Consider the following 17,412-nt stretch of genomic DNA (forward strand, 5'->3'; position numbering starts at 1 on the left):
TGTTTGGAGGGCACTGGAGAGAACCAAAAGAGTGACAAGTTTTGAGCGCTTGTCATTTGAGAAACGGGAAAGAAAATGCGGCGTAATTACCTGTCTTTGGGGAGAGGAGTAGGATTGCTTTTGTTCCTCCAAGTAGGCAGAAACAGAAACACTGGGCAGCTGGTACAGAGAGACGGGTTTTGAGAGGCAGTACTCTGCCAGCAGCGCCGTCTAGCCAGCTGTCTGCCCGAGTCCGGGGGTCCTAGTGCCTTCTGCAGGATTACCCTATAGGAGGCATTTCCAGGGTGCTGATGTGGACTCATGCCAGAGGTGACAGTGTCAGCCATCCATGGTGGAAACACAAAAATAAGGACACTTAGTGAGCTTGGCCCAAGCTATTACATTGTCATCTCTGAGGTTATATTTGCCACACCTTTACCGTTGAATGTCCTTTTATCAAAATAGCAGTCATTGTTTAAGTGATATCTCTATGTTAAACCTTACATTTTTTTCTTTTTAATTTTATCGCTGTGTGAAATCCTAAAGTCTTGAAACTCCTGAGCTAGCTGACTTTTAATATCTGGGATCTCTTTTATCTCTAAATGATTACGATTCCTGACTTTTTTTTGATATAAACACTCAACTGCCGTTAAGAGTGCTCATGATAGGGAATAGATGCTGGGTTTGTTCATGTTTAAATACTGAGGTTCAAGTACCTGTCAGAAGGAGTTTATTATAAAAATTGCTGAAGGCAGATGTTAATTCTTCTCTACAGCATAGTTTTTCTGTTAAAAATTCTAACTCCATTTGAAGGTAAAATGGTATTAGAAAGGATCAAAGTTCCTTTACTGCTAATATCGTTAACATAGGTTTAACAGTCCAAACTTTGGAGTCACTAGGCAAACCTGAATTAGTGAATTCAGTCCCCATTTTATGACCCAAGGCTGGTTACTAACCTCTCAGAGCCTCTGTTGACTTCTCTGTAAAACATGGATAATACTGCTTTACAAGACATTGTGATGACTAAGTTAAATACTCTTCGCAACGGTTTAGCAAAGAGCTTCATTCATAGTAAGTTCTTAATAAACGAGAGCTATTATTACCACTTGCTAGAATTTTTTTTTTTTTTTTGAGATGGAGTCTTGCTCTGTTGCCCAGGCTGGAGTGCAGTGGCATGATCTCGGCTCACTGCAAGCTCCACCTCCTGGGTTCACGCCATTCTCCTGCCTCAGCCTCCTGAGTAGCTGGGACTACAGGCGCCCGCCACCATGCCTGGCTAATTTTTTTTTTTTTTTTGTATTTTTAGTAGAGACGGGGTTTCACCATGTTAGCCAGGATGGTCTCGATCTCCTGATCTCATGATCCACCTGCCTCAGCCTCCCAAAGTGCTGGGATTACGGGCATGAGCCACTGCGCCCGGCCTACTTGCTAGAATTTTTATGGACACAACTATAGGTGATTTCTAAGACATGGTCTGTGCACCTAAGATATCCTTAGTACTAGAATATATCAAAAGTTTACCAAAAATAAAAATATTGACTAAAGCTCTAATAATCTGGGCCTGAGTTTGCTGTGTAACCTGGAATAAATTATCTGAATGTACTATTGGATTTTTTGCATGGCCCATTCCATTAGTTTTATTTAATCTGCTTTTATATTATTTATCAGAAATATGCATTCCTGTATCAGGGAGAAAGATTGTTTTCATTATCTATTTCTAGTACAAAATAGGTAAAGAACACTTTAAAGATTTTTCTACCACTTAAAATATTAAATGGAAGATCATTTGATTATATTTCTTTTGAAAACAAGTAATCGTTATGCCATTTTTAAAAAGGAAAAATGCAACATTGCTAAGAATTAACCCAGAATGCATTTCATTCAGAATACATAGTTTACAAAATAACCGAAAAAAGAGGGCTCTAATTTAACAGTTCAGCAGATGGTGCTATTCCGATTATTATGCAACTGATCAGCTTTTCTGAAATTTGCAAGTGACTAATTTAAAACACTGGTGTATTATTTTTAACTCTCCAGTATGTGTTTCCTGAGTGGCAAAGTTACCGTCATATTGAATATTCAAAACACACTATTTCATTCATAGAAACTTGTGTTTCCTCAAGGTTTCCCCACAAGTAGAGGAGTTTAGATTCACAGCAACCAGTATTAATTTCTGGCCCCACCATGTAACTGAGACAACTCCTTTATTTATCTGAATACAATGGTAATTGTACAGTTTATCTGAATACAGTGTTAGTTGTATTATTATCTCAAGAAAATAGGTGGTAAAGGCCTAATTTGAAGTTCAGCAAATGTATATTGCTGTTGATATTTGTTTTATTGTTATTAGGAGCCATTCTATTAAAAGCTGGACATTTTCCAAAGTTTTGTCAAACTCTTTCTCTTTGGTTGTTGAAAATAAACTTGAGTTTTTTCGAAGCCACATTTATCATATTCTTAAATGTAATGTCTAACTCTGTTTCCCAGAATTTGATAGACATGATGAATCTTTCATGTTATATAGTCCGCAGATGGCATTTTTAATACTTGTGAATTCTAGTTTTCATTCACAAGTCAATATCAAACTCATCTTCAAATCTTAACCATGAATCTTAATCTTTGCATTTTATTTAAAATGCAATTTGCAAATTAAAAAAAGCCCCGTGTGTTAGTTGGCTAGTATTCATTCTCGTTTTTCACTTATCTTGTGCATGACACCTGCTCATTTTTACCGCTGGGTATATTACCTCATTTCAGTAGGTTTTCCTTTTTTTTCTTTTTCTTTTTTTTGCCACAGAACACTGTACAAAATTAAAATGAGGAAAATAAAGGTTGAGACTATTAACTTAATTACAGCAATGGAAGATTTTCCAAACCTAATTCGAAACATTAGCAATTAGCTTTTTAAATATCTGAGGCATTTGCAGTTTTAATTTCGCTGTACTTTAGGTAATTTAATATTGATTTCCTGTTGATTAGTACATAGAAATCCATCTGATGATCTCCGTTTCAGTGTTATTCTTCGCAAAGCCTTGCTAGTTTCAGAAATTAGGAACACAATGGCCCTGCACCTGAGAGGCTGCTGTGATTCTCCTGATTTGCCCTTTTGCACAAAGGTAAAATTGAGAAACCTGTCAGAAAGAACCAAGTGTACTTGCCAGAGGAAGTACTTTTTGGAAATGTCTTCCCTTCTTTATGAACAGAAGTATGTTTTTTAGAAAGAAACAATACTGAAATAAGGACGTATGGTGCTTTTGTTTGTTTTAAGTGATGTTTTAAATACATGGCCCAAATAAAATACATCAAGGCCTATTTAAAGTCCAGGCTTGGCGACCACCAAAGCAGCCTCCACAGGGTGCTGTTAAGAGGGAAGCACTGCATAGGGCCTGCCTGAACTAGGACACAGCCAAGGGCTCACATGGAGGACGGGGTGGAGACACATCTCGTGTACAGCAGGTGGCCAGGCACTCTGGCTGCTCTTCACGCTCTTGCCCATGGCTTCTTTTGAGTTGTGTGTAGCTCATCTTCATCTGGAATTTGAATTGGAACCTGGCTAAATGTGTCAGTTTTCCTTTTGAATTTATATAATTTAAAAAACCAAAAACTTTCATTATTGGTGTGTTTTTCTTTTCCTCTTTTTGCAGGCAGGTAACTTGCAGACTCACTTACGACGGCATTCTGGTGAAAAACCATACATCTGCGAGATCTGTGGAAAGAGGTCAGTGCTGGGCGTGTTCTTCCGTGTGGAAGGGAGCATGTCTAGTCTCAGTGTCTTTGGTAGTCAGTGTCTTCTGAAGTGGTGGCTCACAGATGAGCCACAGGTGGGCTCACCCTGCCACTGCAGAACACAGGTAAATTCAAACCTTCTGGCTTTGCATGTGACACACGAGAGAATAATAAAAAGAAAAGTTAATTCAAAGAAAGAAAAGCTGGGACAGGAGTCCCAAAAAGGAAATGGGGTTTTAAATGCAACAAAATTATTTTATACTAATATTTTCATTCATTCTAAAAATGTCTCTGAAAATATAATAGATTAATGCCCCCAAGGAGGTGACTGTCTAGTAGGGGAAATGGGACTTGGCAGCTGAGTGACTAGATTTCAGGAGAGAAGGAGGTGGTGGAAGGTGCCACAAGCCGTGGGTCTGTAACAGCCTGTGAGAGCTCCACCCCAGGGAGGAGGAAACTAAGTCTTGATGGGTGGGTAGGATTTTGACCTGGCAAAAGAGAATCTGACTCTTGACGTGGAATAAAGTGTGTGGCAGCTCGATTCCTCTGCAGCGTGGTATAAATGAGGAGCTCTTCCCCTGCTGTGTGTGCAGGCTGGCACCCTCGACCCTCCTTCCTGTCCTTGGGCTGTACGTCAATCAGGCCACGTACTCCATCATCTGGTGGTTGTGCCAGGACAACAGGCATCAGCCAGGACTATGCCAGTCACGAAGCTCTGTACGCACCTTGGTTACGTAGCTTTTATATTCATTTATTTAATCATTCATTGATTCAACATTTTTTAGACACCTGCTGTATGCCAAGTGCTATATGGGTCCATAAAAATAAACAGTACAGAGTCTCTGCCTGTCACAGATTCATACCGAAGTGCCTTGAGGCAAGAGATAGTCACGGGGTCAGTTAGAAGTCAGTGTCCTCATATTCAGTCTCAGCACATGCTGGGGAAAGCCGAGGAGGAAGCGACTCTCGATTCAGTTTCAGGAAAACCATTTCTCTGCCAATGGTAGAAAACAAACAAAAGCTGCGGCGGGCAGCGCATCTCCCTTTCTGCTGTAGCTACCTGAACGCTGAAAGTCAAGTTCAGGGCCCAGTGTCATCTGCCGCTCCTTCCAGATGCCTGGGAGCATAGCCCTCCTGCTGCCTCTGATGGCATCACTTCACTGTTGGCCCCTGCATGTCTTGTTTTGCATGGTGTTTGAAATCTGAACTTTCTGAATTCCATTTCAAAGTGAGGCATGTGTTTATTTTTTATTTATTTATTTTTTTGAGACAGAGTTTTTGCTCTTTTGCCCAGGCTGTAGTGAAGTGGCTGAATCTCGGCTCACTGCAACCTCCACCCCCTGGGTTCAAGCGATTCTCCTGCCTCTGCCTCCCAAGTAGCTGGGATTGTAGGCATGTGCCACCATACCCGGTTAATTTTTGTATTTTTAGTAGAGACGGGGTTTCGCCATGCTGGCCAGGCCAGTCTCAAACTCCTGACCTCAGGTGATACACCCGCCTCTGCCTCCCAAAGTGCTAAGATTACAGACGTGAGCCACCGTGCCCAGCCAAGGCGTGTGTTTGAAACCAGACCTATATGCAGCGTCTTCCTTAGAATATAACATACTCTGCTATCAAGCGTAGTGGAAAGGAAAGAACATAGATTTCCACATCTGAGGGCTTGGGTTGGAATTATTGTCTAAGGCAAGTTAGTAACCGCCTCTGAACTTGGTTTTCCCATCTGGAAAGTGGAGGTGAAAATGCCTGCCTGGCAGTGTTGTGGAATGACTAGATGGGATAATGGTTGTTAAACATGTAACCGATCACCTGCACACAGCATCTGCTCAGTGAATGCTGGTTCCCTTTCTTCCATTAGTTCCCTTGTTCTCAATGTTAGGACTGATAGGCGTAAGTCTCTGTTGTGGCTCAGAAAGAGGAGAGCTTATTCTCTGGGGATATTCACAGTGGAGGGTGACAGCCATACCTCTTGGTCCCTGAGACTCTGAGCTCCTGTTTGCATTTTACTTTATAGTGAAAAGAGCGAGAGTCGCACCTGGCTAGACCAGGGCAGAACTCACTCTGGGCCCTCTCAAGGTCATCCTCCTTGGGTTGGCACCACCCAGCTAGGGTCTGTCCCGTGAGACCCCAGGAACCTTGGCAGGACTGCAAGGGTGGAAGGGGCATTTGGCTCTGAACTGGGGAGACTCCTTTTTCACTCTCTTTGTGGCCCCTAAGGTAGTGATGCTGAACCGTACGGTATCTGATCTTGTGCTCTGTAAAACTGAGGAAGAAAGTGTGATGAAATCAGGTAGAAAAAAATGCTTTAAAAACAAGACACTTGCATCATGTTCTGCTTTTCTTAAAAAAATAGAAAAGGGTTTTTTCCATGCACGTTTCAGATGAAACCAGTCCAGTTCACGTTCCTTTCTGCAGCAGTGTCAGGAGCAGGTATCTCCTCCCTCAGAGAGTTGCAGTTATAAAGACCCACAGTAATGTGGAAAGGCTCTTAATTGAATTTTCAAATTACATTCTAGGTTTGCAGCCTCTGGCGACGTCCAGCGTCACATTATTATTCACTCAGGAGAAAAACCACACTTGTGTGACATCTGTGGTCGAGGTACAGCTGAGTGTTTTCCTATTCTTCTTGAAGATTTCTGATTAAAATGTTCTCTGTCCTTCAGCTTAACACCTGTTATGGTCTCTCTAGGGTTTAGTAACTTCAGTAATTTGAAGGAGCACAAAAAGACACACACGGCTGATAAAGTCTTCACCTGTGATGAGTGTGGAAAGTCTTTTAATATGCAAAGGAAGTTAGTAAAGCACAGAATTCGGCACACGGGGGAGCGGCCTTACAGCTGCTCTGCCTGCGGTGAGTTTGGGTTTCTGGCTGTCCCCTAGTCATCTGTGTGTGGGAAGGGCTTTGTCCCCCAGCCCTCATTAGCTGAGTGCGTGTCTGGGATGAGCCCTTTGTTTCCTCCTGTTTTTTTATTGCCTCACATGATCTCTCATTCATTCCTGCATTTGTGTGTCAGGCATTTGCTGCTTGTCTTTGAGGTATTAGGAACTGTCCTAAACGCTCCGAATACAAAGATGACTAAGACAGAGTCCCAGGTGCTGAGGGCTCTTGGTCCAGATGGGAAGAGGGAGGGTGGCTGGGAAAGTAGGGGACAGCAGGACGTGTGGCTGCACATGAAGGAGAGCAGCGGTCCCGCCAGAGCATTAGGAGCACGTGCTGGGATCAGAGGGTCGGCTTCTATAGATCACAAACTTCAGAGCAGACTTTATTCTCGTGGGCACTTGATGCTTCGTTTGAGAGCGGAAAGCTGGCAGCCCTCGGTTTCAGGGCACCTGACTGCTCCGATGAGGACACGGAGGCTCAGGGTAAGGTAGCTCATGACCTGTGATCACAGCGTTGGAGCCAGGATTCCTATACACATGGCCTCTAAAGAGGGAGAGTGTGTACCCGTGACAAGTAATTGAGATGCCTATTGAATCATGGGCAAAACTATGAGTGACAGCAACTTTTATGAACTGTTTAGACCAAATAAGAAATGCACAGAGTCCAGCTGTAGGGAGCCTGGATTCAGGGCACCATTCAGAGAGGCACATTCTAATTGTAATTGGAATCTGAAACCAGCAGGACTTCTGCATATAACCAGAGGAAACTCGGTTTTTGTCCCTGCATTTAAATTGTACACGGATCTTCTGGATACAGATTTAGGCAACTCCATGACCATTCTGATCACTCTTAGAAAGTGAAGTTTCATCACTTTAAATCACTAACGTAGGAGCCTACTGTGGTGGCGTTCGCCTGTAATCTTAGCTACTTGGGAGGTTGAAGCTGGAGGATCTCTTGAGCCCAGGAGGCCGAGGCTGCAGTGAGCCGAGATTGCACCACTGCCTGGGTGACAGCGAGAGCTTCATCTCAAAGCATCAGTAGTGTAGTCTCAAATCACTAATTTAAAATGTCAGTTCCAAATAATTATCACAACTGTGAACTTGATTTAATGGTAAATTTTGTCCTCCTTCCCCAGCTAGGACTTGCTGCTGCTCAGACCCTGCAGTGGAGGAAGTGGGGCCTTCCGTCCCCTCTGCCCCACTTTGGGTTCTGCCCTTTCCCTGCCTCACTAACCCTGGTTTCACACTCTGATGAGGTCAGCTTCTGGGGGATGGGGGAGCGCTGAAGAGAGGAGGAATGTTATGTGACAGGGTCAGTTTTTTAACAGCTTTGAGACAATATTCCCATACCATAAAATTTACCAATTTAAAGTGAACAATTCATTGGTTTTTGGTAGATTCACAAAGTTGTATAATTCTCAACACAATCTAATTTTAGAACATTTTCATCACCCCAGAAGGAAGCCTTATACCCATTAGCAACCCCCTTCCCAGCCCTGGCCCCTGGCTGCCACTCATCTAGGTTCTGTCTCTGTGGACTTGCCCGTTCTAGACATTTACTATGCATGGACTCATACAACACGGGGTATTTTGTAGTCGACTTCTTGCACTAAGCAAATCAGCTATGAACATCCGTGTACCAAGGCTTGTGTGGGGGTGTGTTTCCATTTTCTTGGATATATAGACAGTTCTCTTTTAAGAGGGTTTCACATGCTGAGCTTCTCGGTGTTTCAAACTGCTCGCAGGCTCGTGTGCTCTCGCTGTCTTATGCGTGCTGGGCTTCGTAGTTCTCAAGTCTGCCTTCCCTGTCTTCCCCCAGCATTTCACTGCGCTTTCCGAGATGCAGGCCTGCACTGCACAGCCATGCATTTCCGTTCAGCTGGCGTCTTTCCTGGCTCTCTGGTTTTAGTGGCAGCTTCCTATAGGGAGGCTTCGTTGGGGTTTCACTGCTCTCCGGGCAGCCTCCCCTGCTGATTGAGAGCAGCTCCAGCATGCCTCTGTACAGTGGGTGGCAGCCCTCAGGCCTGTATTCAGGGGCCTGCAGGCCCACAGCAGTGTGGCGCCCACCCGCCTGTCCCCTACTAGACCTACTGTGCAGGAGGTGGGCGTCATTCCCCTGTGCCCTCCTCGCGATGGGACACAGGTGGAGCCAAGCTCCTCTCGACTCGAAAGATGAAGGACAGGCACCCATATTCCTCTTTCTTGGTGGAAACTCTGTCATGACTAAAAATTTTACATATTAAGGATGCTAAAAGTGGTTGTCCCATCTTGTTCAGTAATTCAACTATTGAGAATTTATCTTGAAGAAATGATGTAAAGAAAGATTAAAAACTTGGCCAGGTGTGGTGGCTCACGCCTGTAATCCCAACACTTTGGGAGGCCGAGGCAGGTGGATCACTTGACGTCAGGAGTTTGAGACCAGCCTGGCCGACATGGCGAAACCCCGTCTCTACTAAAAATACCAAAATTAGCTGGGCATGGTGGTGTGTTCCAGCTACTCAGGAGGCTGAGGCACAAGAATTAACTTGAACCCGGGAGACGGAGGTTGCAGTGAGCCGAGATCGTGCCACTGCATTCCAGCCTGGGCAACAAAGTGAGACTCCATCTCAAAAACAAAAACAAAAAAACAAAAAAGATAAAAACTTTATGCTAGAGCAGCAAACAGTTGGAAGCAGCCACCGTGTGCAGCAGTGAAGCTTCTAATTCACAAAATTCCGCATGTCTGAGTAAAGTGTGTGTTATAAGGACAACACAGAAACTAAATATGCTTTCACTCTAGTGTTCTGTGAAGGAGCCTGAGCCTTACATTGTGGACAAAACACAGACATGAAAGCACAAAGGCAAAGGTCACTGTGATGTGTTGTTGCAGTGTTTTGGTTTTTGTTTTTTTTAATCTTTTTTTTTTTTTTTTTTGAGATGGGTTCTTTGTTGCTCATGCTGCAGTGCAGTGGTGCGATCACAGCTCACTGCAGCCTCGACCTCCTGGACACAGGCAGTCCTCTCGCCTCAGTCTTCCAAATACTGGGACCACAGGCATGCACCACCACACCCAGCTAATTTTTATTTTATTTTTTGTAGAGACAGGGTCTCACTATGTTGCCTAGGCTGGTCTTGAACTCCTGAGCTCAAGCAATCCTCCCTCCTTAGACTCCCAAAGTGCTGGAACTACAGGTGTGAGCCACCTCACCTGGCCTACAGTATTTTTTATGTGGAAAATGTGCCCAAAGTTTAGGCATGTAAGCTCACATCCAGTTTGATTATTCAAAGGCTTTAAAAAAAAAATAGCCTAGCCATTGCTTGACTGGAGCTAGATAGCTGAGAATTCAGATGTAAAGTGAAAAGTTCTAAATATTTGTCCATGTGAGTTGTGCAGCTCATTCTTGGCTAGTCTGTGGCCTTTGTAAGGTTATGTGCTGAGTTCCTTCTCATCTTACCTATTCCAGTGGTGGAGCTAGATCCCTTACCTTTACCATATTCACAGAGAAAGAAAATAGAACCTGGACAGGAATGCATAACATTTTGTTAAAAGCTGAATACAGGGCCAGGCGCCATGGCTCATGCCTGTAACCCCAGCACTTTGGGAGGCTGAGATGAGCTGATCACTTAAGGCCAGGAGTTCAAGACTAGCTAGGCCAACATGGCAAAACCCCATCTCTACAAAAAATATAAAAATTAGCCTGGTGTGTTGGCACACCTTGTAAATCCCAGCTACTCGGGAGGCTGTGACATGAGAATCGCTTGAACCCAGGAGGTGGAGGTTGCTGTGATCCGAGATTGCACCTCACTCCAGCCTGGGCGCCTCACTCCCAGCACTTTGGGAGGCTGAGGTGGGCAGATCACTTGAGGTCAGGAGTTCAAGACCAGCCTGGCCAACATGGTGAAATGCCATTTCTACTAAAAATATTAATACAAAAATTAGCCTGGCGTGGTGTCAGGCATCTGTAATCCCAGCCACTCAGGAGGCTGAGGCAGGAGAACCACCTGAACCTCGGAGGCAGAGGTTGCACTGAGCCGAGACAATGCCACTTCACTCCAGCCTGGGCGATTTTTTTCTTTTTTTCGAGACAAACACCCGAATACACAAACACCTTTAGAAAAGATGTTTCTAAATTATAGATTGGCTGTGTTAGATTTATGAACATGTAGTGAAACTGATGAGGAGAGCTGTGGTTTCTCAGCATGGGCTTGGCAGGTGCCTACGGCACCCATGTGCAGGGAGACTCAGTGAGAATCGAAGGACTGACACTGAGATACTCAAAACCCAAAGGCTGTCTGCTGGAGGGGTCCGCAGCTGGAGAAGCACCTCCCACAGGAATGGAAAGCCTTCCAGAGTGAGCAGAAGCTGTGAGGTGACCCCCTCTCCTCAGATCAGGGTTGTTCAGTGTCTTGGGAGGGGAGGGGAGAATCCTTCCAGAATGGCCACTGTAAAAGCATCTTTTTCCAGCCTGGGCATCATAGCAAGACCCTGTCTCTACAAAATGTATATGTATATTAGCCAGGCGTGGTGTCATGCGCCTGTCGTCCCAGCTACTTGAGAGGCTGAGGAAGAAGGATTGTTTGAGGCTAGGAGTTCACGACCAGCCTGGGCCACATAGTGAGACCCTGTTTAAGTAAATAAATAACTGTTTTTCTTTTTCCAGGGAAATGTTTTGGGGGATCAGGTGACCTCCGCAGGCATGTCCGCACTCACACTGGGGAGAAGCCGTACACATGTGAGATCTGTAACAAGTGCTTTACCCGCTCTGCGGTGCTCCGGCGGCACAAGAAGATGCACTGCAAAGCTGGTGACGAGAGCCCAGATGTGCTGGAGGAGCTCAGCCAAGCCATCGAGACCTCCGACCTCGAGAAATCTCAGAGCTCAGACTCTTTCTCCCAAGACACGTCTGTGACGCTGATGCCAGTGTCGGTTAAACTCCCTGTCCACCCAGTGGAAAATTCTGTGGCAGAATTTGATAGCCACTCTGGCGGCTCCTATTGTAAGTTACGGTCCATGATCCAACCTCATGGAGTTAGTGACCAGGAGAAGCTGAGTTTGGATCCTGGTAAACTTGCCAAGCCCCAGATGCAGCAGACACAGCCTCAGGCCTATGCTTACTCGGATGTGGACACCCCAGCCGGTGGCGAACCACTGCAGGCCGATGGCATGGCCATGATCCGTTCCTCTCTGGCTGCTTTGGACAACCACGGCGGTGACCCCCTGGGCAGTCGAGCATCTTCCACCACTTATAGGAACTCAGAGGGTCAGTTTTTCTCCAGCATGACTCTCTGGGGGCTAGCGATGAAGACGCTGCAGAATGAAAACGAGTTAGACCAGTGATGTACCGCGCTTCTCCACGGTAGAGGCGTGTTCTCAGTTTAGCAGGCTGGTGTTAAGGCTGTAGGAGGACCCAGTTTCCCCATGACAGTGCCTTCTAACTAGCCAGAGAATAGGTAGCTTCCCTCCTGATGATGGCTCATAATCTGAAGCATCTTGAGCTGGGGGTGTGAGGGGGAGGGCCTGCTGGCTCACCGTGAGGCAGCCGCGGGAGGGAGCGCTGACGTCACAGAAGCGAAGGCTTGATGCTGTCTCAGCAGCCTCAGCTGTGGGGGGGAAGCGCGTGTGCATCGTGTCAACTACTGTACATGTTGGTCATGTGAAAGGAATTATATATGTATAGTATTACAAGTATTTTTGCATTTTTACAAGATTGAAATTTGTAGCATTTTGTATTATTTACACAGAATTTATTTGTATATGAAACTCATACCATAATTTAATTCGAATAAATGAAACTTTTCTATATATTATATGTTTCCTCTAGCATTTTTATTAATCTAAAGACTATAGGGGTATAAAAATAAATAGCAGCGAGGACTCACTCTGCAAGGATAAGAACCTCATTGGTCAGTCTCCCTCCTGGTACAGCGGGTTTCTCAGTGGTCAGAACTGCCTGACTCCTGGCTGCCACTTACTGGCAAGGTCATGGGTGAGCTGTTCACCCTCTCAGGATCTTCTCTGGAGTTTCTTTTTTGCAGTATGAGAGGAACATCTTCCAGTATTTTCACAAGGCTTGTCTGATCTGAGCACTCACTTGAAAATACCTGCCCGGCGCCTGGCCCTTGACAGGGCGTTCTAAATATTTACTTCCCCTTCCCAGCGGGCTTGACAGCCTCTGCAGGAAGGAGATGTGCCCGTGGCTCTGTCGCTGGAATATCAAGGTGAGACTGGGGATGTGGCACGTCACAGGTGATCTGCTTATAGCACTGCCTGCACGGAAGACTGGAGAGCACCCTACACGGAGGACTGTGTGGAGAGCACCCTCGAATACTCGTGAGCAGCTCTAACTCAGAAGTACAAGATACTCAACGAGAGACCAGTGAGGAGGAGAGGATTTTCATAGAAAAACAGCACAGTTGCAGAGTAGGGCATCAGCTCTGAAGTCCATTACAGGTGCATTTCGTGTTTTCCCATCCATCAGCTGCACTACGCTTCTGCCAGGCTGGCTCAGCGAGCATCTGTTGTCCCCATTGCACACATGGAGTGAACTTGGAACACAATGGCCGCACGTGAGTGCAGATCTTCCTCCTTCCTCCCCATGTCCTCTCCTCTCATGGCCTCCTCTGGCTCCTCCCTCATCCCAACTCGTGTAGCTCTTCAGCCTCCCAGCACCTACAGTGCATCCATCCCCTTAGCTGTCCCTGTGGACCCTCCTTGGCCATGGTTCACCCACCAACCCCTTTATCCATTCCACCTGGTGAACCTCCAGCACTACACACAGGGAGCCCAGCCAGGCTGGTGAGAAACAGCCATTCTCTAGTTTCTACAGCTCTCCTGAGCCCCCGCCGTATCCTACAATCCCCTCTCCTTGATCCAGGCGACGTGCTGCCCTAGGCACTTGTGTCACATCTTCTCAGACCTCTGCAGCTCGCCTGTCCTCCTCCTTATGGCCTTGCTTCCTATTTCTCTCAGAACCTAGAAGCAAATAGGGGCCAGGCGTGGTGGCTCACACCTGTAATCTCAACACGTTGGGAGGCTGAGGCAGGTGGGTCACTTGAGGTCAGGAGTTCGAGACCAGCCTGGCCAACATGGTGAAACCTCATCTCTACTAAAAATACAAAAATTAGGTATACTGCCACATGCCTGTAGTCCCAGCTACTCAGGAGGCTGAGGCACGAGAATCGCTTGAACCTGGGAAGCGGAGGTTGCAGTGAGATCGCACCTCTGCACTCCAGCCTGGGCAACCGAGCAAGGCTGTCTCAAAAAAAAAAAAAAAAAAAAAGGAAAAGAAAAAAGAAACAAATAGGAAAGAACATTCCTCAAGCTCCCATAACACCTCCCTACCTCCCCACATCTGTGCCCGTGGACTCTGCACTTTCCCATCTAAAACCAACCTGCCCCCAACCCCTTGATTTCCCACCTCTGCTTTTTCTCACTAAGTCTTATTATCACCATCTGACCTACTATATAATCTTCCCCTATTACGATGTAACCTCTTCTTTTTTTTTTTTTAAATAGATACAGAGTCTCACTATGTTGCCCAGGCTGGTCTCAAACTCCTGAGCTCAAGTAATCCTCCCGCTTAGGCCTCCCAAAGTGCTAGGATTACGGGCATGAGCCACCGAGCCTGGCCAGGATATAAACTCTTTGTGTCTCTTTTGTTCACTGCTTTATCCTCAGTGCCCAGAACAGTGCCTGACCCTAAATGCTCAGTAACAAATAGTCAAATGAATGTCTTTGGAATACTTTTTAGTCAAAATACTGGACCTCCTAGATTGATTGATTTTTTTCTCCTGAACCTTGTTCATCAGACTCCACTGAAATACTTTTTGCCCAGGTGGCCCACGACCTCCCCATTGCTAAACCGAGTGAGAATTCTCAGTCCCCTTCCTAATGACTCTGAGGCAGGATATGACACGTCGGCAGCAAGTGCATTCCTTTTTTCTCCTTGAAACAACAACCAAGAGGACCACTCCTGCTAGGATTCCCCTTCATGCACGGGTGGCTCTGTCTTGGACTCCTTCCCCTACCCCAACACACATCTTAAAGTTGGGGTGCCCCAACTTTAAGAACACAGGCCCTGGACCTCCTCTCCGGCCTTGGCTCTGTCCCTAGGCCATCTCCTCAATGACAGAGCAGGAGCACTGTCATCTTGGACAAACAACTCCAAAAGTTCCAGCTCCCTTTCTAACCTCATGCGTTTCAAGGAAATGCAGCCAGGAAGAGCAGACAATGAAACACAGATAAGACAGCTTGAGCACAGAGGGAGGAGGGAAAGTCTCTTCGTAACCACCAAACTTCACCCTCATACAATGGGCCCCAGTAAAACAGTGGGCCCTAATAAGCACATTTCTTTCCCTTTAGGCATGCTGAGATAGGGAAGCTAAAAGCAAACTCGGGTGGTATGCCTGCAGCTGCAGGAAGATGTGTGGGAACAGATGCAAAAACTCTCCCTCCCAGATAAGCAAGACAAAGAGACACAGAAACATTCCGAGCCTGTGATAAGCTCTCCCACCCTGAACCCTTAAATACTCTTATTTTGTAAGAGAGAGGGCCTCTGACCTAAGTCGGCCAGAAGCCCCTCTCAGGTTTATTTTCCAAAATAACCTATCTTTGACTGTTGAGTGGCTTTTCATGTTTCTTTCCTCTTTATTTAACTCTTACACTCACATCTCATGACCTTAAATACTGTCTGCCCATGACTCCTCCCAAAACTCTGGATTCCTGTCCTGAGCTGCCTACCAGCGTCTTCACAGACACCCCAGACTAAGAGCTTTCAAGACCAAGCTCCTTGTCTTCTCAATTCATGGCCACCTTATTAAATGGCAATCCTGTTCCTCCAGGATTTTACTCAGACTAAAAACCTTAAGAGTTATCTTACTTCATCAGTATAAGTATGGAGGTGCCTCCTGTATGCCAGGTGCTGGATTTGCCAAAGGCTCAGAAAACAAGACCCCTAGGCCAAGTCACATTTTTGAATAAATCTGCTTGATGAGGACAATAATTTGCTCTTGTAGAATAAAACTTTAGGGAATAGCATTAAAACCAAAGCTCTCAGCTGGGCTCAATGGCTCATGCCTGTAATTCCAGCACTTTGGGAGGCTGAGGTGGGTAGATGTCAAGAGTTCAAGACCAGCCTGGCCAACATGGTGAAACCCCATCTCTACTAAAAATACAAAAATCAGCTGGGTGTGGTGGCAGGTGCCTGTGATCCCAGCTACTCAGGAGGCTGAGACAGGAGAATCGCTTGAACCAGGAGGCGGAGGTTGCAGTGAGCTGAGATAGTGCCACTGCGCCCCAGCCTGGGCAACAGAATGAGGCTCTGTCTCCAAAAACAAACAAACCAAAACCCCAAAGCCCTTTTCATTCACATTTCCTGTCTCTTCCTTTTCTGTTCTTGTTACCCTGGCCCCAAAGCCTTATCCTAAAGAAAGAAAATCTCAGAAGAGGTGAAAAGGCTTGCATATGCATGAGTGCAAACTTGGACAGCAAATTATCTGACAGCGGACCAGACCTTGACCTTGTGCTGTAGACACAGCATGGGCCATCCACAGCAAGAATAACAGTGTGTGTGTGCGTGTGTGTTCCCGCATGTGTGCACACACCTTTTATCCCAGTCAGGACACCAGGACTGTGTTCTTGGCTCCATCGCTAGCTGACTGTGCGACAAATGCCCTCTTCTCACTGGTCTTCAGTGTCCTGACATGCAATGGCTACAGAATTTCCATTTTAGAGCTCTATGATTTTCTAAGAATGGCCCATGGCTAGGTTTCTGTAGAACCTTCCAGCGTCAAGACCTGGCTTCCATTACCAAGTTGGAAGCAGAGGCCAAGAGGCTGGGCAGATCATCAGAAAACCCCCAGCATCTCAAAATGTCTGAGTGGAAAGGGACCTTAGCAACTGTACCCTATTCCATGGGCTTCAACCTTTTGTGACTCAGCTGGAAGACTTGTTGACAATGCAGATGTTTGGAAATGATTCTATAGGTTGGGGCAAGGCCTAGGAATCTGCAGTTAACTGGTTTTCTAGATGATTCTGAGGCAGGGAGTGCAAGGACAGTACTTGAAGGCATGCTGATCTAGTGTGAATCCCGCATTGTACAGACACCCTGAAATGTGAAGTGACTTGCTGGATAATAACAGTAGCTAGGACATATTGTGTCTATCATGTGCCAGCACAATGGTAAACGCTCTGCAAGTCAACTCAAGCTTCATAAGAGCCCTGTAAGGTGTATCTCATAATTACCCCACGGACAGTTGGGGAAAGTGACTCCCTGAGAGGTCAAGGAACTTGCCCAATACCACCTAGCCAGGAGAGTTGGGTCCCAAAGTTCCAGGATGACCTGGTGGCAAGCCCCAAGCCAGGATCAGATGCAGCCTGGAATGGAGCGCAGGGTTCACCTGCCGGGTTGTGATGGATCTGGAGAGACACCTACTGCTATTGTATTCATGATACTCATCACCCATCCTGCTCCAGGAGCATCTTGCATTCTTCCCTATTATTTTAACTACTTTTTGAGACAGGGTCTCACTTTGTTGCCCAGGCTGGAGTGCAGTGGTGATCACGGCTCATGGCAACCTCAACCTCCCATGCTCATGTGATCTTCCCACCTCAGCCTCCCAAATAGTCTGGGACCACAGGGAAGTACCACCATGCCTGACTAAATTTTTTTTTTTACTTTTTGTAGAGATGGAGTCTCACTATGTTGCCCAGGCTGGTCTGGAACTCCTGGCCTCAAGTGATCCTCCCACCTCAATTTCCCGAGTATCTGGGACCACAGGCATGCACCACCATGGCCGGCTAATTTTTAAATTTTTTTTTGTAGAGACGGGGTCTCACTATGTTGCCCAGGC

General features: G+C 46.0%; 1 protein-coding gene across 9 annotated transcripts in view; it reads left to right on the forward strand.

Annotated features, from left to right (window-relative positions):
* Positions 1–12,366, forward strand: part of ZBTB49 (zinc finger and BTB domain containing 49) — a 31,533-nt gene extending 19,167 nt beyond the window's left edge. For 3 of the 9 annotated variants that reach the window (NM_145291.4, NM_001330625.2, XM_047449708.1), the window contains 4 exons: positions 3,624–3,697; positions 6,219–6,301; positions 6,392–6,553; positions 11,223–12,366. In NM_145291.4, coding sequence (NP_660334.3) covers positions 3,624–3,697; positions 6,219–6,301; positions 6,392–6,553; positions 11,223–11,899 — 996 coding nt within the window. In that variant the 3' untranslated portion in view covers positions 11,900–12,366. Of the gene's footprint in view, positions 1–3,623; positions 3,698–6,218; positions 6,302–6,391; positions 6,554–11,222 lie in introns of those variants that run through there. The other 6 variants (XM_005247951.5, XM_047449707.1, XM_011513416.2 and 3 more) reach the window with 4 other exon arrangements.
* Positions 12,367–17,412: the final 5,046 nt, after the last annotated feature.

This window comes from Homo sapiens, chromosome 4, assembly GCF_000001405.40.
Source record: "Homo sapiens chromosome 4, GRCh38.p14 Primary Assembly".
Taxonomy (NCBI): domain Eukaryota; kingdom Metazoa; phylum Chordata; class Mammalia; order Primates; family Hominidae; genus Homo; species Homo sapiens.